The 27717-nt window shown below is 58.4% G+C and overlaps 1 protein-coding gene across 10 annotated transcripts in view, besides 3 other annotated features; it reads left to right on the forward strand.

The window, feature by feature from the left end:
* Window positions 1184-1553: a silencer, noted in NCBI's record as "silent region_75". NCBI's record gives its function as "represses an Ori minimal core promoter by ATAC-STARR-seq in GM12878 lymphoblastoid cells {active_cell/tissue: GM12878}" and the evidence as "EXISTENCE:reporter gene assay evidence [ECO:0000049][PMID:35858748]".
* The window catches only part of ATAD3B (ATPase family AAA domain containing 3B), a 37702-nt gene continuing 11394 nt past the window's right edge, over window positions 1410-27717 (forward strand). Inside the window, exons 1-16 of one of the 10 annotated variants that reach the window (XM_011542244.2) lie at window positions 1410-1734; window positions 6919-6995; window positions 8145-8390; window positions 8694-8753; window positions 10512-10581; window positions 11783-11948; window positions 12190-12259; window positions 14661-14816; window positions 15427-15483; window positions 15755-15880; window positions 16189-16313; window positions 17508-17559; window positions 18849-18919; window positions 19902-20069; window positions 20208-20316; window positions 25130-27493. In XM_011542244.2, the coding sequence (XP_011540546.1) occupies window positions 1530-1734; window positions 6919-6995; window positions 8145-8390; window positions 8694-8753; window positions 10512-10581; window positions 11783-11948; window positions 12190-12259; window positions 14661-14816; window positions 15427-15483; window positions 15755-15880; window positions 16189-16313; window positions 17508-17559; window positions 18849-18919; window positions 19902-20069; window positions 20208-20316; window positions 25130-25462 (2091 nt within the window). In that variant the 5' untranslated portion in view covers window positions 1410-1529 and the 3' untranslated portion in view covers window positions 25463-27493. Of the gene's footprint in view, window positions 1735-6918; window positions 6996-7493; window positions 8391-8693; window positions 8754-10511; window positions 10582-11782; window positions 11949-12189; window positions 12260-14660; window positions 14817-15426; window positions 15484-15754; window positions 15881-16188; window positions 16314-17507; window positions 17560-18848; window positions 20070-20207; window positions 20317-25129; window positions 27494-27717 lie in introns of those variants that run through there. The other 9 variants (NM_031921.6, XM_005244806.4, XM_047431596.1 and 6 more) reach the window with 9 other exon arrangements.
* Window positions 3395-4241: an enhancer, noted in NCBI's record as "H3K4me1 hESC enhancer chr1:1409130-1409976 (GRCh37/hg19 assembly coordinates)". NCBI's record gives its function as "activates a minimal SCP1, AML or CMV promoter by ChIP-STARR-seq in naive H9 embryonic stem cells {active_cell/tissue: H9 hESC(naive)}" and the evidence as "EXISTENCE:reporter gene assay evidence [ECO:0000049][PMID:30033119]".
* Window positions 23361-23561: a silencer, noted in NCBI's record as "peak11 fragment used in MPRA reporter construct". NCBI's record gives its function as "represses an SCP1 promoter by STARR-seq MPRAs in K562 erythroleukemia cells {active_cell/tissue: K562}" and the evidence as "EXISTENCE:reporter gene assay evidence [ECO:0000049][PMID:32103011]".

Below are 27717 nucleotides of genomic sequence, written 5' to 3' on the forward strand. Positions count from 1 at the left end.
GCCCACCTCGGCCTCCCAAAGTGCTGGGATTATGGGTGTGAGCCATTGTGCCTGGCTGGCATTTTCTGGCTTTTTTTTTTTTTTTTTTTTTTGAGACAGAGTCTCACTGTCGCCCAGACTGGAGTGCAGTGATGAGATCTCTGCAGCTGTGTTATATGTAAATTTTCTGTGCCACCAAAGAAGTAGAACTCGAATATAAAGTTTTCTCAGCTAGATAATTTACTTCTATAGAAGGGGGGGTCTCATAGATGGAGCAATGGCAAGCGCTTGGACAAGGGAGGGGAAGGGGTTCTTATTCCTGACGCGGGTAGCCCCTACTGCTGTGTGGTTCCCCTATTGGCTAGGGTTAGACCGCAGTCTAAAGTAATGCCCATTGGCTTTAAAGAGAGCAGGAGTATGGGCCAGAGTGGCGGGGTGAGTGGTTTGGCAGGAAAAACAGTTATGGGACGGGTAACTAAAGGTGACTCAGGTCAAAGCAGATGACCAGGGGAACAGATGTGAACTGTCAGTCCTCTGAGCCCAAGCCTGCACGTATACGTCCAGATGGCCTGAAGCAAGTGAAGAATCACAAAATAAGTGAAAATGGCTGGTTCCTGCCTTAGGTGATGGCATTCCACCATTGTGATTTGTTCTTGCCCCACCTTAACTTCCTGGCTCAGAAGCTCCCCCAACTGAGCACCTTGTGACCCCCGCCCCTGCCTGCAAGAGAAAAACGCCCTTTGTCATTTTCCATTACCCACCCAAATCCTAGAAAACGGCCCCACCCCTATCTCCCTTCGTCGACTCTTGGGACTCAGCCCGCCTGCACCCAGGTGAAATAAACAGCCTTACTGCTCACACAAAACCTGTTTGGTGGACTCTTTACATGGACGCACATGACATGAACTACTGATTAGAACTGGTGGAAAAAGTTGTTTATTGCAACTGCGAGGAAGTTAGACTTTAAAATGCAGAACAAAGACTGAACATACTGACATACCGGTTCTTTGAAGGGAAATTTAGAATTCATTGTATATAACATTATTCAGGCTTAAAATAGTTTCCAATCCAGTGGGACGAGTCACTCCATATAATTCTGTGAAGTCAACCATTCCTATCAAGGAGAGAGTCGGGGCCGCCGCGAGCGCGTGAACCGTGGGCTCCGGGGTGGTGCCGACGCGGCTGCGGGCCGGGACTGACGTTGCGCCGGGTTCGAGTACTCCCCTCCGGAGTTTTGTCCCGGTGCGGCTCCGGTACCCAGACGCTTCACCACGCCCCCCGCCCTCCGCCCGCTCACCCCGGTTCCCGCCGCCCCGGAGCACGCTCCTAAATTGCGGCGCCGTCGCTATGGCGTCACTGCCCTCGCGGCCAATCCAAGGGCTGCGCGCGTGTCCCTTACGCATTTCCGTCGCCGGGAGGAAGGGGTGTGTGTTTCGCCTGCGCAGTGGTCCTGGCCACCGGCTCGCGGCGCGTGGAGGCTGCTCCCAGCCGCGCCCGAGTCAGACTCGGGTGGGGGTCCCGGCGGCGGTAGCGGCGGCGGCGGTGCGAGCATGTCGTGGCTCTTCGGCGTTAACAAGGGCCCCAAGGGTGAAGGCGCGGGGCCGCCGCCGCCTTTGCCGCCCGCGCAGCCCGGGGCCGAGGGCGGCGGGGACCGCGGTTTGGGAGACCGGCCGGCGCCCAAGGACAAATGGAGCAACTTCGACCCCACCGGCCTGGAGCGCGCCGCCAAGGCGGCGCGCGAGCTGGAGCACTCGCGTGAGTGCGGCGGGGCGGGGCGGGGCGGGCGGGCGGGCGGGACGGGCCGGGGAAGCGGGAGCCCTGGCCCTTGCCGCTCCTCGCTGCTGTCGGCAGCCACTTCCCGGGCGAGACTGCGCCCCCGGAGCACCCCCGGCCGGAGCCGTCTCGCGTGCCGGGAGGATCGGACTCTTTCCGTCACCCGTTTGCACCTCTGCAGCTGTCAGGAGCGGGTCAGGTGCGAAAAGCGGTGCGGAGGTGGCGCTCATAGGTTACAGGGGTCAGGGTCTGGGGCTGGCCGTGGTCTTCAGTTACCGCCGAGCGTGCGGGATCCTTCTGCGCTTGCCGCCTCCACGTGGCACAGGCCAAGGCGTGGCCAGATGGGTAGATGGGTTTGTTGGGTGGTTGCTAGCAGTTTCCACGTAACAAGGGAAGCGTATTTGAGAGTTACTTGATTCTAACGAGACTAGCAGATTTGCACTTCTTGTTGGAAGACGTTAGCATTTGCACGGCGAGGTCTGTGAAGCCACAGGCCAGGCCGTGCTGCTCAGCTTGAGTAAACCCCTGACCCAAGGCCCTCAGGGTGTGAGCACTGACTGCACCTTCCCTAAGCTCGGGTCTCTTCCCCCAGCCTTCCTTTCCCCTGTGGCTTTAACGATTTGTAGCACGATGCAGTTCAAATGGCTAGGAGTCTGGAACGTAGAAGGTGCTGAATTCATTGAAAGAATACAGTGGTTCTCAACTCTTGTTTAAGCCGGGGTTCTTTCTATTTATTTATATATTGAGACACAGTATCGCCCTGTCGCCGAGGCTGGAGTGCAGTGGTGCGATTTCGGCTCCCTGCAACCTCCGCCTCCGATTCTCCTGCCGCAGCCTCTCGAGTAGCTGGGATTACAGCCGCGCAGCACCACGCCCGGCTAATTTTTTTTGTATCTTTAGTAGAGACGGGTTTCACCATGTTGGCCAGGGTGCTCTCCAACTCCTGACCTCGTGATCCGCCCGCCTTGTCCTCCTGAAGTGTTGGGATTACAGGCCTGAGCCACAGCGCCCAGACAGAAGGGATTCCTTTTTTTTTTTTTTTTTTTTTTTTGAGATGAGTCTCGCTCTGTCGCCCAGGCTGGAGTGCAGTGACGTGATCTCCACTCACTGCAAGCTCCGCCTCCCGTGTTCACACCATTCTCCTGCCTCAGCCTCCCGAATAGCTGGGAGTACAGGCGCCCGCCACCACGCCCGGCTAATTTTGTAGAGATGGGGTTTCACCGTGTTAGCCAGGATGGTCTCGATCTCCTGACCTCGTGATTAATTTTTTGTATTTTTAGTAGAGACGGGGTTTCACTGTATTAGCCAGGGTGGTCTCGATCTCCTGACCTCGTGGTCCACCCGCCTCGGCCTCCCAAAGTGCTGGGATTACAGGCGTGAGCCACCGCATGCCACCTTTTTTTTTTTAAGATGATGTCTTGCTCTTTGGCCAGGCTGGAGTGCAATGGCGCCATCTTGTCTCACTGCAAACCGCAACGCCCTGGTTCAAAGAATTCTGCTGCCTCAGCCTCCCAAGTAGCTGGGATTACAGGCACGCGCCACCACGCCCAGCTAATTTTTGTATTTTTAGTAGAGACGTGGTTTCACCACCTTGGCCAGGGTGGTCTTGACCACCTGACCCCGTGATCCACCCGCCTCGACCTCCCAAAGTGATGAGATTACAGTCCTGAGCCACCGCACCCTGCCAGCAGGGGTTCCTTTTTAGAAAGAAGATCATTTAGGGAATCCCTGGTGTGAAGCAGATATAAACAGAGTTTCCCTGTTTAAGGAGGGATGGCCTGGTGGTACTTGTGGTTCCATCCTGTGCCCTTCCCCGGGGTGCTGGGGAACATCCTGAGCTGAGGTTTCTGGCCCCGGCTGGGTCTCATAACCCCAGAGGGACATTCAGGTTTGGGCCCAGGCCCAGGCTAACATGGATAGTCCTAGCTGGGCACCACCGACAGTGCGTGTTCTGTTTTGAAGAGATGGGGTCTTGCTTTGTCGCCCAGTCTGGCCTTGACCTCCTGGGTAAAAGCCGTCCAACCGTCTCAGCCTCCTGAGGAGAGGGGACTGCAGGCTTGCTCGGTAATTTTTCTTTTTTCTTTTCTTTTTTTCTTTTTTTTTTTGACGGAGTCTCGCTGTCGCCCAGGCTGGAGTGCAGTGGCGTGATCACGGCTCACTGCAAGCTCCGCCTCCTGGGTACACGCCATTCTCCTGCCTCAGCCTCCCGAGTAGCTGGGACTACAAGTGCCCGCCGCCACGCCCGGCTAATTTTTTGTATTTTTTTTAGAGACCGGTTTTCACCATGTTAGCCAGAATGGTCTCGATCTCCTGACCCCGTGATCCACCCGCCTCGGCCACCCAAAGTGCTGGGATTACAGACGTGAGCCACCGCGCCCGGCTTTGCTCCGTAATTTTTCTGTGTGTTTTTGAGACTGAGTCTGGCTCTGCCGCCCAGGCTGGAATGCAGTGGCATCATCTCTGCTCACTGCAACCTTTGCCTTTGGGGTTCAAGCGATTCTCCTGCCTCAGCCTCCCGAGTAGCTGGGATCACAGGCGCCCGCCAGCACACCTGGCTAATTTTTGTGTTTTTTTACTAGAGACGGGGTTTCACCATGTTGTTTAGGCTGGTCTTGAATTCTGGCCTCAGGTGATTCGCCCACCTCGGCCTCCCAAAGCGCTGGGATGACAGGCGTGAGCCGCTGCTCATGGCCTTCCTCGGTAATTTTAACGATCAGGTTAGGATGGGAATCAAGGGCTGGACTTCAGGGCACCTCGGAGGACAGCGGATGTTGGTGACTGACTTTCTTGCTGCAGGCTTATTTGGAGGGTTCCTTTGTGTCCTAGTTCCTGGGGGTTTTCACCCGCTAACTTCACTTAGAGATTGAAACTTCTCCCACTTCCAGAAGCTGAATCGTAGTGATCAGCCTGCGGCCCCCTGCAGTGGTACAGGCCTGGTTGAGCAGCCTCAGGCCGCCTCCCCATAGTGCAGACCTGTGCCTCTGAGTTGCTCCAGTCCTGGCGGCCCCGGAGCTCCTGACCCGCAGTCCGCTCTGCCGGCGTTGCCAGTGCCTTGGTCTGCCCTCTCTGTGGTGGAGCGGGGCCCGGGGCAGGGTCTCCAGGTGCACCGTGGGGAGCCCTCCATCAGGCTTTTGTTTCTGTGGATTGTGTTCCAGGTGTGGGCTCTTTCATTTTGATCCCTTCTCTCCTTCCTGGCCTCACTGCTGGCGGGTGAGAGAGGTTTCTCCGGAGTTGACTGCCCCCTTTCCCCGGGTGCCCCCTGCCCTGCCCCTCTGCCTGGTAGCCCCTCTGCAAGCCCGGCCCCTCCCGACGCTCCTGGCTTCCTCCGTGCCCCTTTCCTGGCAGCGGGGTCGCCGAGATTCGCCCGTTGCTTTGTCCTTGCTGCTCTCCAGGCAAACGGGCGGCTCCTCCTCACCGACTGCCTCCTCTGTCCCTTGAGGCTATAGCCCCATGCCGCCTCGTTCCCAGAGTCTGCCCTGACCCCTCCTCCGGCCTGTCCTTGGAAGTCACAGCAGTACATTATCCCAGAACTGTCTGTGAGCACCAGCGCTCGCCCTGCACTCCACAGAGGGGGTGCCTGGAGGAGAGCCTCGTGCCCTGTGGGTGTGAATTCACGCGCTGGGACGCACGTCCCTGGCACAGGGTCACACCAAAGTGGTGAATGATTGTTCTCATTCTAATAACCGAGAGGCCACACGGGCACCTGACCTGCTCTTTCCCCTCTCCTCCTCCCCAGAGTCACTGGGGGTAGGAACTGTCAATGAGCCATTTTCAGGGGAGGGAGTGGCCTCAGCTTAATCCAGCCAAAGGTCCCCTCGGGAGGAAACAGGCAGAGCTCCTCACCGTGACACCCACGTTCCTGTCACTGCTCTGTGGCAGGACCCTGGGGGACTGACACACCCTCAGTCCCCTCGGGGTCAGAGTGAGAGTGGTTGAGAGCCCGGGGTCGCTTCAGCCCTTGGCTTCCCGAGTTTAGCAGCCAAACCCGTTGACCTGGCACTGTCTTCCCTGAGAGGCAGGTCCCGGTCTCATCTGTGCTCTGTTCACTGGGGCCCCCGAGGTTAGCTACCAAGGCGCTTCCTGAAATGTGACGCTGATGCCCGTCAGCCCAGTTCGTGCCTAACCACAGGCCCAAGCAGACCCACCCCAACACCAAAGTGTCGCTGCCTCTGTCTAAATGCAACGAGTGCTCCCCACGGCACTTCCCCCTGCGTCAGTCACCTCCAAAAATTACACCTGAGCTGAGAACAGACGCTGGGCTCTAGTTAGTGACGTGTTTGCTGCAGTTGACTCTGAAGGCTTAAAAAAGTGAGACGGGCTGCGGGAGGAAGAGAGACGGGAACAACGCACCAACCCAGGAGCATCGGGGGTCCCTGCCTACTTTACACGTCTTTCTGTGTTAGAATAATTTTTTTTTTTTTGAGACGGACTCTTGCTGTCTCCCCCGCTGGAGTGCATTGCTTCGATCTCTGCTCACTGCAAGCTCTGCCTCCCAGGTTCACGCCATTCTCCTGCCTCAGCCTCCTGAGTAGCTAGGACTACAAGTGCCCGCCGCCACGCCCGGCTAATTTTTTGTATTTTTAGTAGAGACGGGGTTTCACTGTGTTAACCAGGATGGTCTTGATCTCCTGACCTCATGATCCACCCGCCTCAGCCTCCCAAAGTGCTGGGATTACAGGCGTGAGCCACCACGCCCTGCTAGAATAATTTTTTTTTAGAGACGGAGTTGCGCTCTGTTGCCCCGGCTGGAGTGCGGTGGTGCGATCTCGGCTCGCTGCAAGCTCTGCCTCCCAGGTTCCAGCAATTCTCCAGCCTTGGCCTCCCCAGTAGCTGAGATCACAGGCGTGCACCACCACACCCAGCTTTTTTTTGTGTTTTTAGTGGAGACAGGATTTCGCCATGTTGGCCAGGTTGGAGATTTTATTTTTCTTAAGTCTCACTCTGTCCAGCTGGAGTGCAGCAGTGTGATCTGGGTGACTGTAGCCTCTGCCTCCGGGGTTCAAGCCATCCTCCCACCTGAGCCTCAGAGTTGCTGGGATTACAGGCGTGAACCACCGCTTCCCACTAGGTTTTTGTATTTTTAGTAGAGGTTGGGTTTCACCATGTTGGCCAGGCTTTGGTATCCGTGTATCCTACACCTGCTCTCCGTGCCACATGCGCCCGCAGGTTACGCCAAGGAGGCCCTGAATCTGGCGCAGATGCAGGAGCAGACGCTGCAGTTGGAGCAACAGTCCAAGCTCAAAGTGAGTGGGGCCGGTGTGGGCGAGGAGGCCGGGGCGCACATGGGGTTCAGGCGTGGAGATTGGTGGGGCTGCTACTGGTGGGTAGGGCCAGGGGCGTGTACATGGGCAGCAGTGGGGCCAGGGCCGAGCTTGGGCGCCTCATTTCACAGAGGGAAACAAGGGGAGGTGAGAGACGCTGCCGCAGAGCCGCCCGAGAGGGAGGGTCAGTGTTGGTGAGGGCGTCTGGTCGTCCTGAGGGAGGGCCGGTGTTGGTGAGGGCATCTGGTCGTCCTGAGGGAGGGGGTCTTCTTCACATTCTCACCTCATTTCTTTTCACTCAGCAGGATTTTTTATTTTATTTTATTTTATTTTATTTTATTTTATTTTATTTATTTTGAAACGGAGTCTCACTCTTGCCTAGGCTGGAGTGCAATGGCGCAATCTCGGCTCACTGCAACCTCCGCCTCCCGGGTTCAAGCGATTCATCTGCCTCAGCCTCTGGAGTAGCTGGGATTACAGGCACGCGCCACCACGCCTGGCTAATGTTGTATTTTAGTAGAGACGGGGTTTCTCCATGTTGGTCAGGCTGGTCTCTAACTCCCGACCTCAGGTGATCCACCCGCCTCGGCCTCTCAAACTGCTGGGATTACAGGCACGCGCCACCACGCCTGGCCTATTTTATTTTATTTTGAGACAGAGTGTCACTCTGTCCCCCAGTCTGGCGTGCAATGGTTTGATCTCGGCTCACTGCAACCTCCACCTCCCGGGTTCAACCTCCTGCCTCAGCCTTCCGAGCAGCTGGGACTACAGGAGCCTGCCACCACATCTGGCGAATTTTTGTATTTTTAGTAGAGAAGGGGGTTCAGCATGTTGTCCAGGTTGGTCTTGAACTCCTGACCTCAGGTGATCCAGCCACTTTGGCCTCACAAAGTGCTGGGATTATAGGCAAGAGCGATGGCGCCCGGCCCACTCAGCAGGATTCCTAGAATGGGCACGAGCTCTGCCCTCATCACAGTCCAAAAGTGAGCACCTGCCTGGAGCTGCCCAGAAACAGCCTTGTGGGGTGGGGTTGGTGTCTGACCTCCCTCCCCGGGGGCCTTCGCAGGCTTCTCTGCTGGTGCTTCTGTGCCTGTGGGTCTGGATTCCTCCAGGGCCTGATCCTGGGTGCAGATGCAGCTGGAAGCCCTGAACCTGCTGCACACACTAGTCTGGGCACGGAGTCTCTGCCGTGCCGGAGCTGTGCAGACACAGGAGCGGCTGTCAGGCAGTGCCAGCCCTGAGCAAGTGCCAGCTGGTGAGTGCTGTGCTCTGCAGGAGTATGAGGCCGCCGTGGAGCAGCTCAAGAGCGAGCAGATCCGGGCGCAGGCTGAGGAGAGGAGGAAGACCCTGAGCGAGGAGACCCGGCAGCACCAGGCCGTAAGAGCGCAAGAGGCCGCGAGGGAGGCCGCCCGGCTGCGGGGAGCGGCCTGGGGCAGGACTGGGAGCTGGGTGTGGTCCCGGGGCACTCTGGAGTCAGCCATTAGAGCTGCCCTCGGAACGGCCTTGCACAAACGCCTAAGACCTGTAAGGTCCCTCACTGCTGAGCCGGACGGGAGGTCCCCGCGCCTCCCCACGTTTGTGTGAGGCTGATGGCGCGTCGGAGTCCCCGGCGCTCCGCCCAGTCGGCCCAGACTGCAGCTCCCGGCTGAGATGTGTCTTTGCCGCCCTCTTCTCCCCCAGAGGGCCCAGTATCAAGACAAGCTGGCCCGGCAGCGCTACGAGGACCAACTGAAGCAGCAGGTGAGCTCAGCCTCCCCTGCGAGGCGCCTGCGTCCCTGAGAACGTAGGTGGCTTTGTGGGACCAGTCAGTGGGTCAGAGGCCACGGGGCAAGAACGATGGGGTTGCTGACGGTGGGTGCTAGAGCAGGGGAAACTACTCGGACAGACACGCACCAGCACACGTGTACAGGCACACATGCAGATGTGTGCACACATGTACACGGAGACACAGGCACCTGCCCACACAGACACACACTCCTCGCACACACACTCCCGGCAGACAGGCACACACACCCCTGCACACATGGGCACACACACACCCCTGCACACACGGGCCCACACACTCCCCTGCACACATGGGGAAACATGGGCCCACACACACACACCCCTGTGCGCACACACCCCTACACAGGGGCATGGACAGACACCCGCAAACACACCCCCACACAACACGGGCACGCACACACACACCCCGCCACAACACAGGCACACATACCCCTGCACACAGGCCTGCACATACACCCCCACACAGGGGCATGCTCACACAGCCCGCACACACACAGGTATGCAGACACACCCAAACACACATGGGTCCTCAGGCACACACTCCCGCATGGGGCATGCACGCACCTCCCACACACACCCGATCACACATAGGCATGCACACCCCTCTGCACACATGGGGGCTTACACACCCCCCCGCACACGTGGGCCCGCTCACACAGCCCACACACATACCCCTTCACACAGGCACACACCGCCCCGCACACACGGGCCTGCACACACACCCCCACACGGGCATGCACACGCCCACACACACGGGCGCGCACACACCCGGACATGCACAAACACCCACCTGCACACACGGGCACACCCCACCACACACACACACAGGCATGGACACACGCACACCCCCTCACACATAGGCACACATACACAACCCAGGCACACACCCCCTTGCACAGACGGGCACGCACACAGTCCCACACATGGGCACACGCGCACACCGCCGCAAACACACACACGGGCACGTGTACGCACCCCCACTCACAGTGTGCCTCATACATACGGGCACGCACCTGCACACGAGGGCACACCCCCACCCCCCACCCCCACACACCCCCGCACCCATGGGCACACACACATTACTGCACGTGAGGGCATGCACACACACGCCCTGCACACCCCCACACACAGACCCCTTGTGTGGGTTCCACAGCAGCGGCTCTCCAGGCACGACAAGCCTCCTTGTCTCCCACCCGGGCGCCCAGCTGGCAGTCTGGGAGGTTCTGCTTGGGAGGGCTGGTCAGTGGCGGCGGGCGGGTCTCTGGGTCTATGAGAAAAGCTTGGGTGACATCTGTTCCCTGGTCCTTAGGGACCGTCACCTTCAGTCCTGAGCTCGCAGGCGGGGTTCACATGTTGCCTGTTGTGGGCATTGTAGCTTTAACGTTTAATTGGCGGAAGACAGAAGCTTCCTTAAGCCCAGCCTGAATCAGGGCAGTGGTGTTGGGAGGTCGGCCCGCGGTGGCCCTTGTCAGGGAAGCCACAGTGGGGGCTGTTTCTGCCACTGGGGAGTTTGGGACCCTGAACCCATCCCCTCAGTGACTGCCGTCCCAGCCGATGTCACCCGTGTCTGTGTCAGGGTGCGGCGTCTGCAGGTCCCCAGGTGCCCAGGACGCTTGGAGTTCTGTGGTCCTGGGGCGGACGCAACCTCTGGATTGGTGTTGAGCATTTTTCTGGTTTTAAAGGCTTTTCTCTTTTTCTGCGGCTTCTTCTCAGCAACTTCTCAATGAGGAGAATTTACGGAAGCAGGAGGAGTCCGTGCAGAAGCAGGAAGCCATGCGGCGAGGTAGGCTGTCTGCTCTCCTGGCTGGGGCGGAGGTGGCGGGGGCTGCTTGTGGATCCGGCGTGCACTCTGAGCCTGAGTTCTGCCGCCCGGCCCCTCATAGCTACCAGTGCAGTGGGCGAGGCCTGCTGGGGCTCTGCGGGGTGGGGCTCCCTCTCGGAAGACACCTCTGTCTGCGAGTGGACGCCAGGATCTGTTCAGGGAGGGCAGGAGCTGCTTCACTTCATGGGAAGTACAGGGGCCTTTTTTTTTTTTTTGAGACGGAGTCTCGCTCTGTCACCCAGGCAGGAGTGCAATAGCACGATCTCAGCTCACTGCAACCTCTGCCTCCCAGGTTTAAGCAATTCTCCTGCCTCAGCCTCCCGAGTAGCTGGGATTATAGGCTCCCGCCACCACGCCCAGCTAATTTTTTTGTATCTTCAGTAGAGAAAGGGTTTCACTGTGTTGGCCAGGCTGGTCTTGAACTTCTTGATCTCATTATCCGCCTGCCTTGGCCTTCCACAGTGCTGGGATTACAGGCGTGAGCCTCTGCGTTCTGCCTAGAACATGGGTCTTTACTGTCCTGGTTTCAGTGGGGATCACAGGTATTTGGTGCCATGTGGCATTTGTTGGCGAGTGCTCCAGGCAAACGTCTGTCACCACTCTTCACCGTGGGTGGGCTTGTGGCGAGGTGTGTGCGTTTAATGTTCAGTAGCCAGGCACGTGGCACGTCACGCGTGTCTGAGTTCTGACAGCTGTGTTTCTGTGTGAGGGGGGCTTCCTTCAGAACTCCGCGTTCTGGTTTTTTGCTTCAAAGAGCTCGTCCTGAGAAGTTGCCTAGGCCTCTGGGTCGGATTTCTGCCCTAATCCATGGGCAGGGCCGGCCTGTGGCGCTGTCCCTACCAAGGTCTGTGTGTGTCTGTGGCACGGGCCTGTCCATGGACTGGGCTTGTCCGTGGAGTGGGTCGGTCCATGGCCTTAGCCTGTTGGTGGCGTGGGCCGGTCCACGGCATGGGCCTGTCTGTGGCGTGGGCCGGTCCGTGGTGCGGGCCTGTCCGTGGCCTTAGCCTGTTGGTGGCGTGGGCCGGTCCGTGGCATGGGCCTGTCTGTGGCGTTGGTCTGTCCGTGGCGTGGGCCGGTCCGTGGCGTGGGCCGGTCCACAGTGTGGGTGGAGGTGGACGTGCTGCACTGCATGGTGCTGAGCTGCCCTGCCTCTCTGGGGCAGCCACCGTGGAGCGGGAGATGGAGCTGCGGCACAAGAATGAGATGCTGCGAGTGGAGACCGAGGCCCGGGCGCGCGCCAAGGCCGAGCGGGAGAATGCAGACATCATCCGCGAGCAGATCCGCCTGAAGGCGTCCGAGCACCGTCAGACCGTCTTGGAGTCCATCAGGTGAGCACTGCCCAGGCCCGGGCCGGCCACAGATGGAGCCCCGCAGGTGTGAGTCGCTGGTCCCAGGGCGCTCTCCAGCTCTTCCAGGCCTGGCCGCCATAGGCTGACTCCTTGGTGGGGGCACTGCCCCTCTGTCCTGGCAAGGCCGTGCCGCCATGTCAGGGCCTCACCCTCAACCTGCTCTCGCTGCGTGGTACGGATCTTCGTGTCCTTCCTGGTCACACCACTGCTTTCCCCGCAGGACGGCTGGCACCTTGTTTGGGGAAGGATTCCGTGCCTTTGTGACAGACCGGGACAAAGTGACAGCCACGGTAAACATATTCATAAAACAGGGCTGGCAGGTGGCTGAGAGGCAGCATGTGGGGGCCTCCTGGAGCCCCAGGTCCTGTCCCTGCCGGCTCTGCACAGCCCTGTAGCTCTCCCAGCACAGAGCAAACCCACGTTGTACCTGCTGGGCTCGGCTGCTCCTCCCTCCTTGAGCTGGGAGAAAAAAATGCAGTTGCCAGCCTGGGCCACACGGTGAGACCCCATCTCTACGAAGAATAAAACATTAGCTGGGTGTGATGGTGGCGCCTGTGGTCCTGCTACTCGAGAGGCTGAGGTAGGAGGATCACTTAAGCCCAGGAGGTTTGGGCTGCAGTGAGCCAACATTGCACCACTGCACTCCATTCTTGGCGAGAGAATAAGACCTTGTCTCAAGAAAAAAATGGCCAGGCGGTAGTGGCTCAGGCCTGTAATCCCAGCATTTTCGGAGGCGGAGGTGGGCGGATCACGAGGTCCGGAGATCGAGATCATCCTGGTAAGAGTGAAACCCTGTCTCTACTAAAAAAAAGAAAAAAAAAGAAAAGAATTAGCTGGGTGTGGTGACATGTGCCTGTAATCTCGGGAGGCTGAGGCAGGAGAATCACTTGAACCCGGGTGGTGGAGGTTGCAATGAGTCGAGATCCCGCCACTGCACCCCAAGACCAGCATGACCAACATGGTGAAACCCCATCTCTGCTAAAAATACAAAAATTAGCAGGCCAAGGTGGCGTGCGCCTGGAATCCCAGCTGCTTGGGAGGCTGAGGTAGGAAAATTGGTTGAACCCAGGAGGCGGAAGTTGCAGTGAGCTGAAACCGCACAATTGCACTCCAACCTGTGGAAGAAGAGCGAAACTCTGTCTCAAAAAAACAAACAAAATAAATAAGCCAGGCCTGGTGGCTCACTGGTGTAATCCCAGCACTTTGGGAGGCCAAGACGGGTGGATCACTTGAGGTCAGAAGTTCATGACCAGCCTGGCCAACATGGTGAAAACCCATCTCTACTAAAAATACAAAAATTGGCCGGGCCTCGTGGCACAGGTCTGTATTAGCTGAGTGTGGTGACCTGAGCCTGTAATCCCAGTCACTCGGGAGGCTGAGGCAGGAGAACTGCTTGAACCTGGAAGGCGGAGGTTGCAGTGAGCCAAGATGGCACCATTGCACTCCAGCCTGGCCACAGAACAAAACCCTTTCTCTAAAAACAAAGTCAAGGGCGCATTAAGCAGCTCCTTCATGTCCTCAGGTGACACCGTCTCACCAACATGGCAACACCACCTGCAACATTCACCGTCACGCTGACCAGGCCACCGGCAGGTGCTGCAGTCACAGCAGTGGGCGCCGGCACCACGGCAGAGCAAGTGCCCACTCAGTGCCGGGCACCTACTGTGTGCTGGGCGGGGTGGGGGGACGGAGGACACAGCCATGTGCGACCTGGGGCGCCACCACAGCAGGCCAGAGCCTGGGCACAAAAGAGCGAGGCTTTAAACGAGAGAAGAATCTGAACTTCAAACTCTCAGGGTTTTATTCCGAATAACGAAAGTTTTTGCGAAATGGAGTCGGGTTCGCTTTCTGGGTCTTTGATTTTTTTTTTTTTGAGACAGAGTCTCACTTTCAAGTGTGCTGCTCAAGTGCAGTGGCGCGATCTCGACTCACTGTCAGCTTCGCCTCTTGGGTTCACACCATTCTCCTGTCTCAGCCTCCGGAGTAGCTGGGACTACAGGTGTCTGTCGCCACGCCCGGCTAATTTTTTTGTATTTTTAGTAGAGAGAGGGTTTCATCCTGTTAGCCAAGATGGTTTCGATCTCCTGACCTCGTGATCCGCCCGCGTGGGCCTCCCAAAGTGCTGGGATTACGGGCGTGAGCCACCGTGCTCAGCCACAGCCAGCTAATTTTTTCATGTTTTTAGTAGAGACGAGGTTTTTCCAGGTTGGTTAGGCTGGTCTTGAACTCCAACCTCTGGTGATACGCCGGCCTTGGCCTCCCAAAGTGCTGGGATTACAGACCTGGCCAGCCTAAACGATTTTTAAAACAAGTTAGAGATTTTGGGTTAGTCTTGTTTTCCAGGAATAAAGTACCATTTTTAGTGGCCAAGGATGTACCAGAGGGTGTGGCCCTGTGACATCCAGCTGGGTCTGCCCAGGGCCCCGCTCAGCGACCGAGGCTTTCTAGGATTTATGCTGCCAGTTGCAGAGAAAATGGCCCTGAGTGAGGGCGTTATGACTGCCCCACCTGCCTCCTGTAACCGCGTGGCTGTGGGATTCGGGGCTGGGAATTCGGGTTCCTGTGGGGCCAGCACACGGCCCTGTGCTTCTCCCTCAGGCGGAGAGAGGGTGGGGGCAGCCCCGTGCGTCTCCTGCTCTAGGAGGGAGGGACGGTGGGGGCCGGTGCGCCAGTGCGGTGTCTCTGCTGCAGGTGGCTGGGCTGACGCTGCTGGCTGTCGGGGTCTACTCAGCCAAGAATGCGACAGCCGTCACTGGCCGCTTCATCGAGGCTCGGCTGGGGAAGCCGTCCCTAGTGAGGGAGACGTCCCGCATCACGGTGCTGGAGGCGCTGCGGCACCCCATCCAGGTAGCGGCGCAGGCCTGGCCCTCCCTGAGTGCAGTTCCTGGCTGAGTCCCTTCTGCCCCACGAGCACAGCCCACGCACACCCTCCCGTCCCTTCCCTTTCCCCGGATAACAGGCACCCGCACGCTGCTTCACGGGTGGGTTTTCCTGTCTGGCGCTGTACCTTAGGGGTCTGCATCAGTGAGACCCTTCCCCTGTCTGCCTCGGTGTCCCTTGCTCAGGGCTCTTGATGGGGCCTGGGAGCACATCGGGGTCCTTGCAAGACCCGGGACTTGGGTGTGCGGCCGTCTGTCGGGGAAGCTGCTACAGGCCATGGCGTCTGGTGGCCTCCCTGGGGAGCCGCGCCGCTTGCCAGCCCCTGAGGTGCCTGCTCTCCACAGGTCACTGGGTAGGTGGTTAAGAAAATAAAAGCCAATAAGGAACCGGAAAATGCCCCTAATCCCAGCAATAGCCTCCTGGTCTCCCGGCGGGGCAGGGTTCCAGCTCCGGGCCGGTCCTGGCTGTGCTTTGGGGCAGCTCCGTTTCTGTGTGTTACCGAGCATGTGTGTGCGTTGGTGGCTGTTCCGTGGCTGTGGCAGGTGACCCAATGGTGCTTCCCCTTCCCCTCCGGCAGGTCAGCCGGCGGCTCCTCAGTCGACCCCAGGACGTGCTGGAGGGTGTTGTGCTTAGTGTAAGTCGGTGTGCCTGGGACCGGGGAGGTGCAGGGAGGGGACCCCGGAGCTGGGCTGGGCTGTGGCCCTTGCTAGCGCTCGTGGTGGCGCCCAGGAGCTTTTGGGTCCTGAGATGCAACTGCTTGGACTGTGCCGGGGATAGATAGGCTGCCCACGAGCTGGGCGGCTTCCTGAGGAGCAGAGTCCGCACCCGGGCATTCCCGCAGCCCCTGTCACCGAGGCTTCCGTGGGTGCAGAGTGTCTCCCCCAAACCCCCGTCTTCCCCGGCAGCCCAGCCTGGAAGCACGGGTGCGCGACATCGCCATAGCAACCAGGAACACCAAGAAGAACCGGGGCCTGTACAGGCACATCCTGCTGTATGGGCCACCAGGCACCGGGAAGACGCTGTTTGCCAAGGTGAGAGCGCCTGGCTGAACAGGTGGGCCAGGGGCCGCTGGGGTCTCACCTGCCTGCAGGTGTCTGGGGGCCTCAGCCGCCTGGGGAATGGACCCCCCTTAGGCCTTTGCCTACCCTCGTGTAGGCTCAGGGTGCTGGTGTGGGCAGCAGCGCCTCCCATCTTCCAGGCGGGGGACGTCTCCTGTCTGGCAGGCTGTGGCTTCCAGACAGGGACACCCGGCAGGGGCTCCACACTCCAGGTGGAGTGTGCAGGCTTTGCAGAGGCAGAGGGAACATCTGTTCTGTCTCCCCTCACTCTTCTTGTCCAGAAACTCGCCCTGCACTCAGGCATGGACTACGCCATCATGACAGGCGGGGACGTGGCCCCCATGGGGCGGGAAGGCGTGACCGCCATGCACAAGCTCTTTGACTGGGCCAATACCAGCCGGCGCGGGTGAGACGTCCCCACAGCATGCACCAGGCCCTTGGCTGCGGCCCAGCAGGCTGCCTTCTGGGAAGGGGGTCCAGGTGTCTCTTGGGGACCCTGTCTTTCTGCAGCTCTGTCCTTGTGGCCACGCAGGAGGCCCAATGGAGGGTCCCTCGGAGGGAAAGTCCCCTGAGTGTGGACCCTGGTGGACACGAGGTCCCCAGCGTGTGGAGGCTGCCAGTGGGATACTTGGCTCAGGGCAGAAGGGAGGTGGGTGGGTGCAGGGGGAGAGGGGTCTTCACAGCTGCAGGGGAGGCTCCTCCACAGCCGCCCTCCCCCCAACACGCCTGCAGGTGGGCGTGGGCACTGGTTGCCTTTTCTAGAACCATTTGAAAGTTAGCTGAAGACAGCATGGCACACTCCCTTCAATAGGTCCCACAGTGACCCCGCGCAGGGCACAGCCCGGGCACCCTTGTGGCCTCGGCTGTCCTCGTTGGAACCACGATCCTCATGGTTGGCACCCTCCCCTCTGGCCTTTGACCTTTCACTTTAGAAGACCTGTCCCTGCGCCAGGCGTGGTGGCTCACGGCTGTAATCCCAGACTTTCGGAGGCGGAGGCAGGCAGATACGAGGCCAGGAGATTGAGACCATCCTGGCTAACTTGGTGAAACCCCGTCTCTACTAAAAATACAAAAAATTAGCCAGGCATGGTGGTGGGCACCTGTAGTCCCAGCTACTCAGGAGGCTGAGGCAGGAGAATGGCGTGAACCCGGGAGGCAGAGCCTGCAGTGAGCCGAGATTGCGCCACTGCACTCCAGCCTGGGAGACAGAGCGAGACTCTGTCTCAAAAAAAAAAAAAAAGACCCTGCTCCTTGCGTGGACTCTTGAGCACTGCACTGGGTCGCTGTGTGGGTGAAACCTGCAGGGCGGAGGCTGTTGCCCCATGTGTGGTTGGCTGGTGTGTGGGTGAAACCTGCAGGGCAGAGTCTGTTGCCCCCTGTGTAGTTGGTTTCCCACTGCCTTCTGAGGCTGAGACGTGGTCAGCTGCCCAGAGGCCAGGCTGATCGGCTTCTGTCGAGTCCAGGACTTAGGGCTCCTGATGGGGCAGAGCCTGACCCCGTGGGGATCTGCCTGCCTGGCCTGCTCCTGCCGCGGCCGGACGCTGCTGTGGGCTGCTCCTGGCGTCACTCTCGCCTTGCTTGGCCTCTCTCTCGTTCACAGCCTCCTGCTCTTCATGGATGAAGCAGACGCCTTCCTTCGGAAGCGAGCCACTGTGAGTGTCACTAAGCCTCTGTCTGGCCACAGGAGGGTGGTCGGGTGGGCGCGGCTGTCATCCTGGGCCAGGCTGCAGCCCTTAAGCTGGCTTGCAGTGGCGCAATCTTGGCTCGCTGCAACCTCTGCCTCCTGGGTTCAAGCTGCTCTCCTGCCTCAGCCCCCTGAGTAGCTGGGATTACAGGTGTTTGCCACCACACCTAGTTAAGTTTTTTGTATTTTTAGTAGAGATGGGGTTTCACCATGTTGGTCAAGTTGGTCAAGAACTCCTGATCTCAAATGATCTGCCCACCTGGCCTCCCAAAATGCTGGGATTACATGCGTGATCCACCACGCCCAGCCATACAGTTATTATTTTAATACAGGGTGTCTGTCGCCCAGGCTGGAGTGCAGGGGCGACATCTCCAGCTCAAGCAGTCCTCCTGCCTCAGCCTCCCGAGAAGCTGGGATTGCAGAGGCACACTAACACGCCCGGCTAATTTTTTTGTAACGTTAGTAGAGATGGAGTTTCCCACATTGTCCAGGCAGGGCTCAAACTTCTGAACTAAAGAAATTCACCGGCCTTGGCCTGGCACAGTGGCTCACGTGTGTAATCCCAGCACTTTGGGAGGCCAAGGCAGGTGGATGACGAGGTCAGGAGTTCAAGACCAGCTTGGTCAATATGGTGAAACCCCGTCTATAGTAAAAATACAAAAATTAGCCGGGCGTCGTGGGGCACGCATGTAATCCCAGCTGCTCAGGATGCTGATGCAGGAGAATCGCTTGAACCCAGGAGGCAGAGGTTGCAGTGAGCTGAGATCGTGCCACTGCACTCCAGACTGAGAGACAGAACAAGACTTCGTCTCAAAAAAAAAAGCGAGAGATTTGATCGCCTTGACCTTCTGAAGTGCTAGGATTAAAGATGTGAGCCCTCAGTCAGGCTTTTTTTTTAAATGTATTTTTTATTTTTTAGCAATTCTCATGCCTCAGCCTCCCAAGTGGCTTGAGATTACAGGTGTGCCACCATGCATGGCTAATTTTTGTATTTCTAGTACAGATGGGGTCTCACCATGTTGGCCAGGCTGGTCTCAAACTCCCTACCTCAGGTGATCCGCCTGCCTCAGCCTCCCAAAATGCTGGGTTACATGCTTGAGCCACCGCCCCTGGCCCTGGTCAGGATTTTGAGTTTAGATCCATGAAAGTGTCGCCACGTCCCTGCTCCCTGCAGGAGGGAGGCCTGTGGGACTTTCTGCTCTGGCTGTTTACAAGGCTTTGCTTCTGGTGCCTAAGGCTGGAACCTTCTCTCTGCAGGAGGAGATAAGCAAGGACCTCAGAGCCACACTGAACGCCTTCCTGTACCACATGGGCCAACACAGCAACAAGTGAGGGAGCCCCTCGGGTCCTGAGCCCCCGGGCAGGGCTGTGCAGCCGTCGCCCTTGGTTCCCACTGAGGGTCCCTGGCTCACAGTGCTGGGCACCAGCTGTGGCCTCAGTGTGCCCACCTCAGATGTCCCCTGGGAACGGCCCAGCTCGGGACAGCACGGGGTGTCATTGAGGAACATGCAGGGGCCTCCCGGGCAGAGCTGGGGTCAGTCCTGTCTTCACGGCCCTGTGCGCCGCCGCCCCAGCTTGCAGGTCCCTCTGCCCCTAGATTTCTGCGGTCCTGTGCCTGCAAGGGAGGTGGTCTGATTGCTGCCGCCCAGAGGTCCCCAGTAGGGTGACCGGCCCTATGTCCAGGCTCCCTCTTCCCTCCCAAATCCCTTAATTTTGAGTTTTCTTGGTCTCCTGGGCCCCTCCAGCCCCAGTCACGTGTCACACGGAGGATCAAGTCCTGCTGGTCGGCCGTGGCTGACTCTTCAGGCACGTTGGGCTCCTGGGTCAGCTGCTGCCGTTCGACGCTCCCTGGAGCCCTGACTCAGGTCCTTCCCAGAGAGGCAAGGCTGGGGCCCTGCTGAGCCTCTGCTGAACCCGGGCCCCCGAGGTCCTGCTTCTGGCTCGCATGGCCATAATCTTGACAGGGACTCTGGGTCCCGCATCCCTGCTCCCAGCACAGCGGGGCTCAGGTAGCAGGAGGGAGTGGTGTTCCCGGCACTGCCTATCAGGCTGGGCGAGGGTCAGCGGGGAAGTACCACACAGGGCAAGAACAGAGGCCCGAGAAGCCGGGCGGGGGGCAGCTGGGCGTGGTGGGGCAGGCAGGCGGGTGACCAGGGCTGTGGCTGCGTTCTCCCCATGTTTCCTGTGCTCACAAGCTGCCGCTTTAGATTCTCCCAAAAAGTCTCCCCGAGGGGGCTGAGGAGCCCCCGTTGCCCTCGGGGCATCTCAGCTGGCAGCCCCAGCGTTTCCTTCCCCATCCCTGTCCTACAGATTCATGCTGGTCCTGGCCAGCAATCTGCCTGAGCAGTTCGACTGTGCCATCAACAGCCGCATTGACGTGATGGTCCACTTCGACCTGCCGCAGCAGGAGGAGCGGGAGCGCCTGGTGAGACTGCATTTTGACAACTGTGTTCTTAAGCCGGCCACAGAAGGAAAACGGTGAGTGTCCCGCCTCACCCGGCCCCCAATCCAGGCACCATATGGCATGGGTGTAGGCCAGCTGCCTGTCTTCCGGCCTCCACCTCATGGTGTGGGGTCCGCGGCCTTGGCTGCCTCACTTGGGAACTCCTTCCCCAGGCGCCTGAAGCTGGCCCAGTTTGACTACGGGAGGAAGTGCTCGGAGGTCGCTCGGCTGACGGAGGGCATGTCGGGCCGGGAGATCGCTCAGCTGGCCGTGTCCTGGCAGGTGAGTCAGGCTCCGGCACGTCCACCCAGACGGGACCCCAGCTGCTGTGGAGATGCTCAGTTGCGCCAGGCCTGTCCCAGCACCGGTGTCATGTGGGAGCTTCTGTTGAGGGGTTTTCAGTGCACAGACGTGACACAGGGCCCCCTGCCTCAGTCGGGCCACTCCACGCAGCAGCGTGCACCTGCTCGTGCCCTCAGGAGGGTGGGGCCATGTTGGTTGCTGACAGTCACACGGGGCTCTCTGGAAGCCAGTCCAGCATCCCAGGTGCCCGGGCTCTGCTGGGTGTGGTGGGAGGTTTCTGGCTCTCATCTTGGCCAACAGGCACCTCCTAGAGGGAATGGTCGTCAGGACAGGCCCCGTGTGAGTTGGGTGGTGGGGGTGGAGGGACGTTGTGTTTCCTGGACCAGGTCCCTTGGCTTGGTCCTGTTTGACGGGTTCAGACACACGGTGGGACTGGCCTCCGATTGTCCCACAGTTAGTTGTTCCTCGGAGGCACCCCTCCTGCTGCTCCTTGGATACTCCAGGGCCGAGGAGCCGAGACTCACTGGAGTGTGGGCATGGCCATCCAGAGAGCTCTGATCAGGCCGGGCGCGGTGGCTCACGCCTGCAATCCCAGCACTTTGGGAGGCTGAGGCAGGCATATCACGGGGTCAGATTGAGACCATCCTGGCCAATATGTCGAAACCCCGTCTCTACTAAAAATACAAAAATTAGCTGAGTTTGGTGGTGCATGCCTGTTATCCCAGCCACACGGGAGGCTGAGGCAGAAGAATTGCTTGACCCGGGGAGTTGGAGGTTGCAATGAGCCAAGATCGCACCACCGCACTCCAGCCTGGCCAAAGATTGAGACTCCATCTCAAAATAAAAGAAAGCTTTGGTCTTTGGGGGTTGCTGAAAAAGCAAAACCAGGTCTGTGGGGTAGAAGGCGCCCTGGCCACACACAGGCATTGCCGCCTCTGGGGTCCGCAGAGTCTGTGTGACAACCTGGTCACTCGATCTAGCAGCGTATTTGAATGAATGAGTGACAGCTTAATGAAGTAGCCAAGTACCTTGATTTGAACGTAGGAGCCGGGGTATGTAGGGAGCTGTATTAGTCAGTACAGGCTGGGTTATGCCGCTGTGACAAAGAGTCCCAGATCTCAAACCCCGTCCTTGTGGGTCAGCTGAGGTCTCTGTTCCAGGCCGTCCCCACTTGGAACCAGGTCTGTTTCCACAACTCAGAAAGTGGAGGCTGGGTATGGTGGTGGCTGACGCTTGTATTCCCAGCATTTGGGGAGGCCAAGTCAGTCAGATTATTTGAAGCCAGGGGTTCAGGACCAGCCTGGAAAGCAAGGTGAGACCCCATCTCTACAAAAAATGAAAAAATTGGCCGGACCTAGTGGCACATGCCTGTAATGCCAGCTGCTTGGGAGGCTGAGGTGGGAGGGTCACTTGAGTCCAGGAGGCGGAGGCTGCAGTGAGCTGTGATTGTGCCACTGCACTCCAGCCTGGGTTACAGAGCAAGACCCTGTCTTAAAAACTGAGAATAATTTGGAACAAGCCCGGTGGCTCACTCCTGTAATCCCAGCATGTTGGGAGGCCAAGGAGAGAAGATCACTTGAGGTCAGGAGTTCAAGACCACCCTGGCCAACATGATGAACCCCACCTCTACAAAAAATACGAAAATTAGCTGGGTGTGGTGGTGGGTGCCTGTAATCCCAGCTACTCAGGAGGCTGAGGCAGGAGAATTGCTTGAACCCACGAGGCAGAGGATGCGGTGAGCTGAGATCATGCCACTGCACTGTAGCCTGAGGGACAGAGTGAGACTGTCTCAAAAATAATAATAAGAAGAATAATAATTTGGGCTGGGCACAGTGGCACATGCCTGTAATCCCAGCACTTTGGGAGGCCGAGGTGTTGGATCACTTGAGGTCAGGAGTTCGAGGCCAGCCTGGCCAGTGTGCCGAGACCCCACCTCTACTAAAAATACAAAAATTAACTGGACGGGGCCGGGTGTGGTGACTTATGCCTCTAATCCCAGCACTTTGGGAGGCCGAGGTGGGCGGATCACGGGGTCAGGAGTTCAAGACCAGCCTGGACAACATGGTGAAACCCCATCTCTACTAAAAAATAAAAAAATTATCCAGGCGTGGTGGCTGGCGCCTGTAGTCCCAGCTACTCAGGAGGCTGAGGCAGGAGGATCGCTTGAACCCGGGAGGTGGAGGTTGCAGTGAGCTGAGATGGTGCCACTGCACTCCATCCTGGGTGTCAGAGCGATACTCCATCTCCAAAAAAAAAAAAAAGAAAGAAATTAACCTGGTGTGGTAGCAGGCACCTGTAATCCCAGCTGCTCGGGAGGCTGAGTCAGGAGAATTGCTGGAACTCAGGAGGCAGAGGTTGCAGTGAGCTAAGATCACGCCACAGCACTCCAGTCTGGGCGACAGAGCGAAACTGTCTCAAAATATAAATGATAACAGTAATAATTTGGCTTGGCACGGTGGCTCTTACATGTAGCATTTTCTACACATAAGATTATGTCACCTGAGAACAGGTGATTTTACCTCTCCCTTTTCAGTTTGGATGACTTTTCTTTTTCTTGTCCCATATCTCTGGCCAGAGCTTCCAGCGATATGTGGAATAGAAGTGGTCAGAATTCTTGCTTGGTTCTTTCTCAGAGGAAGCTTTCAGTTTTTCACCACTGAGTATGTTAGCTGTGGACTTGTGATCGCTGGCCTTCTTTGTGTTTAGGGCATGTTCTTCAATCCTGGTTTGTTAATTTTTTTTGTTTCTTTTCTTTTCTTTTGGTGGGGGGACCAGTCTCGCTTTTGCCGCCCAGGCTGGAGTGCAGTAGAGACAGGGTTTCACCATGTTGGCCAGGCTGGTCTCGAACTCCTGACGTCAGGTGACCTGCCCACCTCAGCCTCCCAAAGTGCTGGGATTACAGGTGTGAGCCACTGCAACCGACCAGTTGAATTTTTTTTTTTTAATCATAAAAGTGTGTTGAATTTTGTCAAATGCTTTTCCTGCATGAGATGAGAGGGTCATGTGGTTTCCTTCCTCCACTCTGCTAATATTGATTGATTTTCATATATTGAACTATCCTTGCATTCCAGGAATGAATCCTGCTTGGTTAGGGTGTAGAGTCCTTTAACTATACTGCTAAATTCGTTTTGCTGGCATTTTGTTGAGGACTTTCCCAGTGAGGCTCATCAGGGATATTGGCCTGCCATTTCTCTTGTGGTGTGTTTGTCTGGCTTTAATATGAGGGTAATGCTGGCTTCCTAGGATGAGTGAGGAAATGTTCTTCAATTTGTCCAAGAGTTTGAGGAGTGGTACTGATTCTTCTTAATGTTTTGTGAATTCACATGTGAAGAAATCAGGTCCAGGTCTTCTCTTTGACCTTTTATAGCTTGAAGATCTTAGGTTCCCAGAAAAATTGCAAGGGTAGCACAGAGAGCTCCCGGGCCCGGGGCCTTCCCACATGGTGAACATCATGTGTCACTGTTGGACCCACCCGCGACCAGGTTTTGCCCCAGAATCCCACCCAGGAGGCCACGTGACATTTAGCTGTCACTTCTGGTGGGCTCCTGCCAGGTCCCGTGCTTCCTGGAGGGGTGGCCCTGTGAGCATCTGCGTAGCCCCTCTCCTCTGCTGGGCCCTGGGTGACGTGCAGCCACTCGGGTGGACCCTGAGGGTCCCTGCACCTGTTTGCCCTCTCTTGGGTGGGCTCAAGACCAAAAATGATGTTGAGCAGTCCTGGGCCCCTGAGCCACAGTGGCGGTGCGGCTCCGGTCAGTGTCTCCTGCGCTCCCGGGCCCCCGACCCACAGTGGCGGTCCGGCTCTGGTCAGTGTCTCCTGCGCTCCCGGGCCCCCGACCCACAGTGGCGGTCCGGCTCCGGTCGGTGTCTCCCCACACAGTGGCTCTTGGCGAGGGGTGGGCGCTGGCAGAGGGGACGGGCACCACGTGGTCATCCCCATGACAGGTTCTGTCATGGTGACAGTGTTGTGGGAGGATGGTGTGCTGCTGCCCCTGCACCCCGTGAGATGAATCCTGCCTCTGGGAGGTACAGCTGGGACGGGGCGAGGGACCCACTCAGCTGTCCAGGAAGGGTCCCCTGCCCTGTGCTTCCTCCAGGTGTCCTGGTGCACTCCTGAGCACGGCACCTAGTGGGGGTCCCCACACCCTCACCCTGACCCATGGGTGCCTCCCCTTGGGGACTCCACGCCCTTCGCTGGCACTGAGATGGAGAGCGACCTGTCCGTGGCAGAAGGGCTGCTGCACCTGAGGTGCCTAAGGCGACACCAAGGGCCACAGCCCCAGTAGCTCCAGCCTCCGTGTGCTCAATGCCAAGCCCTGTGCCCAGGAGGACAGGGAAATGGAGGCAGAGGTGGCCTTGATGTCCCAAGGTGGGCAGTGGCTGCCTCTGCCCTGGAGGCCTGTGAGGGTCAGGGTCTGAGGGTCTGAGGTGCACTATGACCCGGGGGCACTGCCTGGCCACGGCTGAGACTCGCAGAGGGTCTGCAGTTCCCACCTGCCTCTCGGAAGCTGCCCTGGGTCAGCCGTCAGTGGTGCTCCGCCTTGGGTTTTCTATTATCAGAAAGTCATTGAGCAACAGCAGTGCTGAGGACGCAGGCAGGGCTGTGGGCACTGCAGGGGCCGCTCCCAGTGTCCACACGCGTGCTGGGCTCTGCCAAGGTGTGGGAAGCCTGTGTTTCACCCTGAGGTTGTCCTGGTGCCCCTGGTTTGGCCCCTCCCCACCTCGGGGCCCTGGCGTGCATTAAGGGTGGCGGGTTCCCATAGCGGCCTCCCTCAGCTCCCTCTCTCTTCACTAGGCCACGGCATATGCCTCCAAGGACGGGGTCCTCACTGAGGCCATGATGGACGCCTGTGTGCAAGATGCTGTCCAGCAGTACCGACAGAAGATGCGCTGGCTGAAGGCGGAGGGGCCTGGGCGCGGGGTCGAGCACCCCCTATCCGGAGTCCAAGGCGAGACCCTCACCTCATGGAGCCTGGCCACGGACCCCTCCTACCCCTGCCTTGCCGGCCCCTGCACATTTAGGATATGCTCCTGGATGGGGACTGGGCTGTGCCCAGGGCCTCTGTCCCCCAGGATGTCTTGTGGTGGCGGTCGGCCGTTCTGCCCCCCAGGGCACCCCCTGTTGTAGGCACTGGCTAGGGAGGGGCAGGCCTCCTTCCTGCCCCTCGAGACACTCTTGGGAGATGCATTTTCCGTCTGGCTCACAGGGGGAGGGTGAGGCTTTGTACCCCAGCCCCTGCCCAGGCCACTGTGAGGGTGGGTGCTGGCTGAGCCCCTGGGGCAGAAGGAGTGGGGCAGGCGGGGTCTTTGTTCTCGGCTCCCACAGCAGAGCCAGGTGAGGGGGGGCCTGCCAGGACTAGACAGAAGTGGGGCGGCCTGAACCCTGCTTCCAGCCATGGCCAGGGGCCACGGAACCCGGCAGGGGTGTCTGAGGCCGCCCTGTCAGCTGGCCGGTCCAAGCCTGTGGCTGGAGCTGGTGTGTGTTTATCTAATAAAGTCCCACAGGTGCCTCACCGCCGTGTCTCTCTATTGACTGACACTGCTCGGGGTTTCAGGGGCGCCCTAGCGTCCTCCTGGGGTCAAAGGTGACATAAGAGGCAGAGGCTGGAGCTTTCTGGAGAATTTACTGATCACAGAGCGGTGTGCTTCACATCAGCCTCGCGCCACATCCGAGTTGGGGTCTGAATGCTGCCCGGGACTGCCGCCTGCGCCCCACCAGCCCCTCCCTCCTGAAGGAGGGGCACCCCGAGAAGAATGAGGCTGCAGAGTGATGTGGGGGCCAGCGGTGACTTCATGACCACACTGCGCCCAGGTGTAAGAGGGCACGCTTCTGCCCAGGCATCGTCCATGGAAGACACGCAGTCGGCCACTGCAGCCTCGGTCCTGGGTGCCCTGGGGCTGGGTCACTGGGGGCCACAGGCCACACTGGGAGACCACAGTCCTGGCATGCCATGCAGCTCCCTGTCCCCAGAGGTCTGCTCAGATGCAGAGAGCTCAGGAACCACACTCGCTGCCTGAATTCTGGGAGCAGAGCGTGGTACCCACTGCCTGGCTGGGGCCTACTCTGGGACTGCAGCCCCTGTCCCCGCTGGCCCAGGCTTCCGGAGGCAGCTGCGTCCCTGTCTTGGCTCAAGGTCAGGCCGGAGGCCAGGCTGTCCACCTGCATCTGGAACCTGCACAGTCACTCCTCCAGGTCCTCGCTGCTGGAGGACTCTCAGACAGGAAACCTTTGCTTTGGGGGCAGGGTGGGGTGCAGGGGTGGTTGGGGGAATCACAGCAACGAGACAGCACAGTGCCATGGCGCAGAGCCTCATATTGGTCGATGAAACAATGCTTTCTGAACTTTGTGTCCTTAGGAAGGGTGTAGGCTGTTGGTTGAAGTAGGAAACAGAAGAGGAGCCTGGGCACGCAACGGTCCCATCGGAGAGCAGACCCCTCGGAGCTGCAGTGCTTGGAGGGGGGCGGTCTACCTCTGCTCGCTCTCTCCATTTCTCTCTCTACCTCTGCTCGCTCTCTCCATTTCTCTCTTTTTCCTTTTAGAGATGGGTTCTTACTCTGAGCCCAGGCTGGAGTGCAGTGGTGTGATTATAGCTCACTGCAGCCTCGACCTCCCAGGCTCAAGTGATCCTCCTGCCTCAGCCTGTCCAGTAGCCATACCCTACTAGGCCCTAATTAGCCCCAGAGGCGTGCACCACCACGCCCGCTAATGCTAAAAATTTGTTGTAGAGACCGAGTCTTGCTATAATGCCCAGGCTGGTCTCCAACTCTTGGCCTCAGGAGATCCTCCCGCCTCTACAGGATGAGCCACCAAGCCTGGCCTCAATTCCTCTTTAAAGGAATTGCCTAAATCTTAAACCAGCAATCAATACTTTGTATTTAAAATTAAGCCAGGTTAGACTGGGCTAGGTGGCTCACGCCTGTAATCCCAGCACTTTGGGAGGCCAAGGCGGGTGAATCATGAGGTCAGGAGTTTGAGACCATCCTGGCTAACGTGGCAAAACCCCGTCTCTACTAAAAATACAAAAAAATTAGCCGGCATGGTGGTAGGTGACTGTAATCCCAGCTACTCGGGAGGCTGAGGCAGGAGACTCGCTTGGACCTGGGAGGGAGAGGTTGCAGTGAGCCGAGATCACGCCACTGCACTCCGGCCTGGGCAACAGAACTGTTTAAAAAAAAAAAAAAAAGCCCTGATGGAGCCCAGCACAGCAGCTCACGCCTGGAATCCTAACACTTTCCGAGGCCTGGGCGGGTGGATCTCCTGAGCTCATGAGTTTGAGAACAGCATGGCCAACATGGTGAAACCCCATCTCTACAAAAAATACAAAAGAAAAATCCAGGTGCCGTGGCTCACTCCTGTAATCCCAGCACTTTGGGAGGCTGAGG

This window comes from Homo sapiens, chromosome 1 (genome assembly GCF_000001405.40).
Source record: "Homo sapiens chromosome 1, GRCh38.p14 Primary Assembly".
NCBI classification, from domain to species: domain Eukaryota; kingdom Metazoa; phylum Chordata; class Mammalia; order Primates; family Hominidae; genus Homo; species Homo sapiens.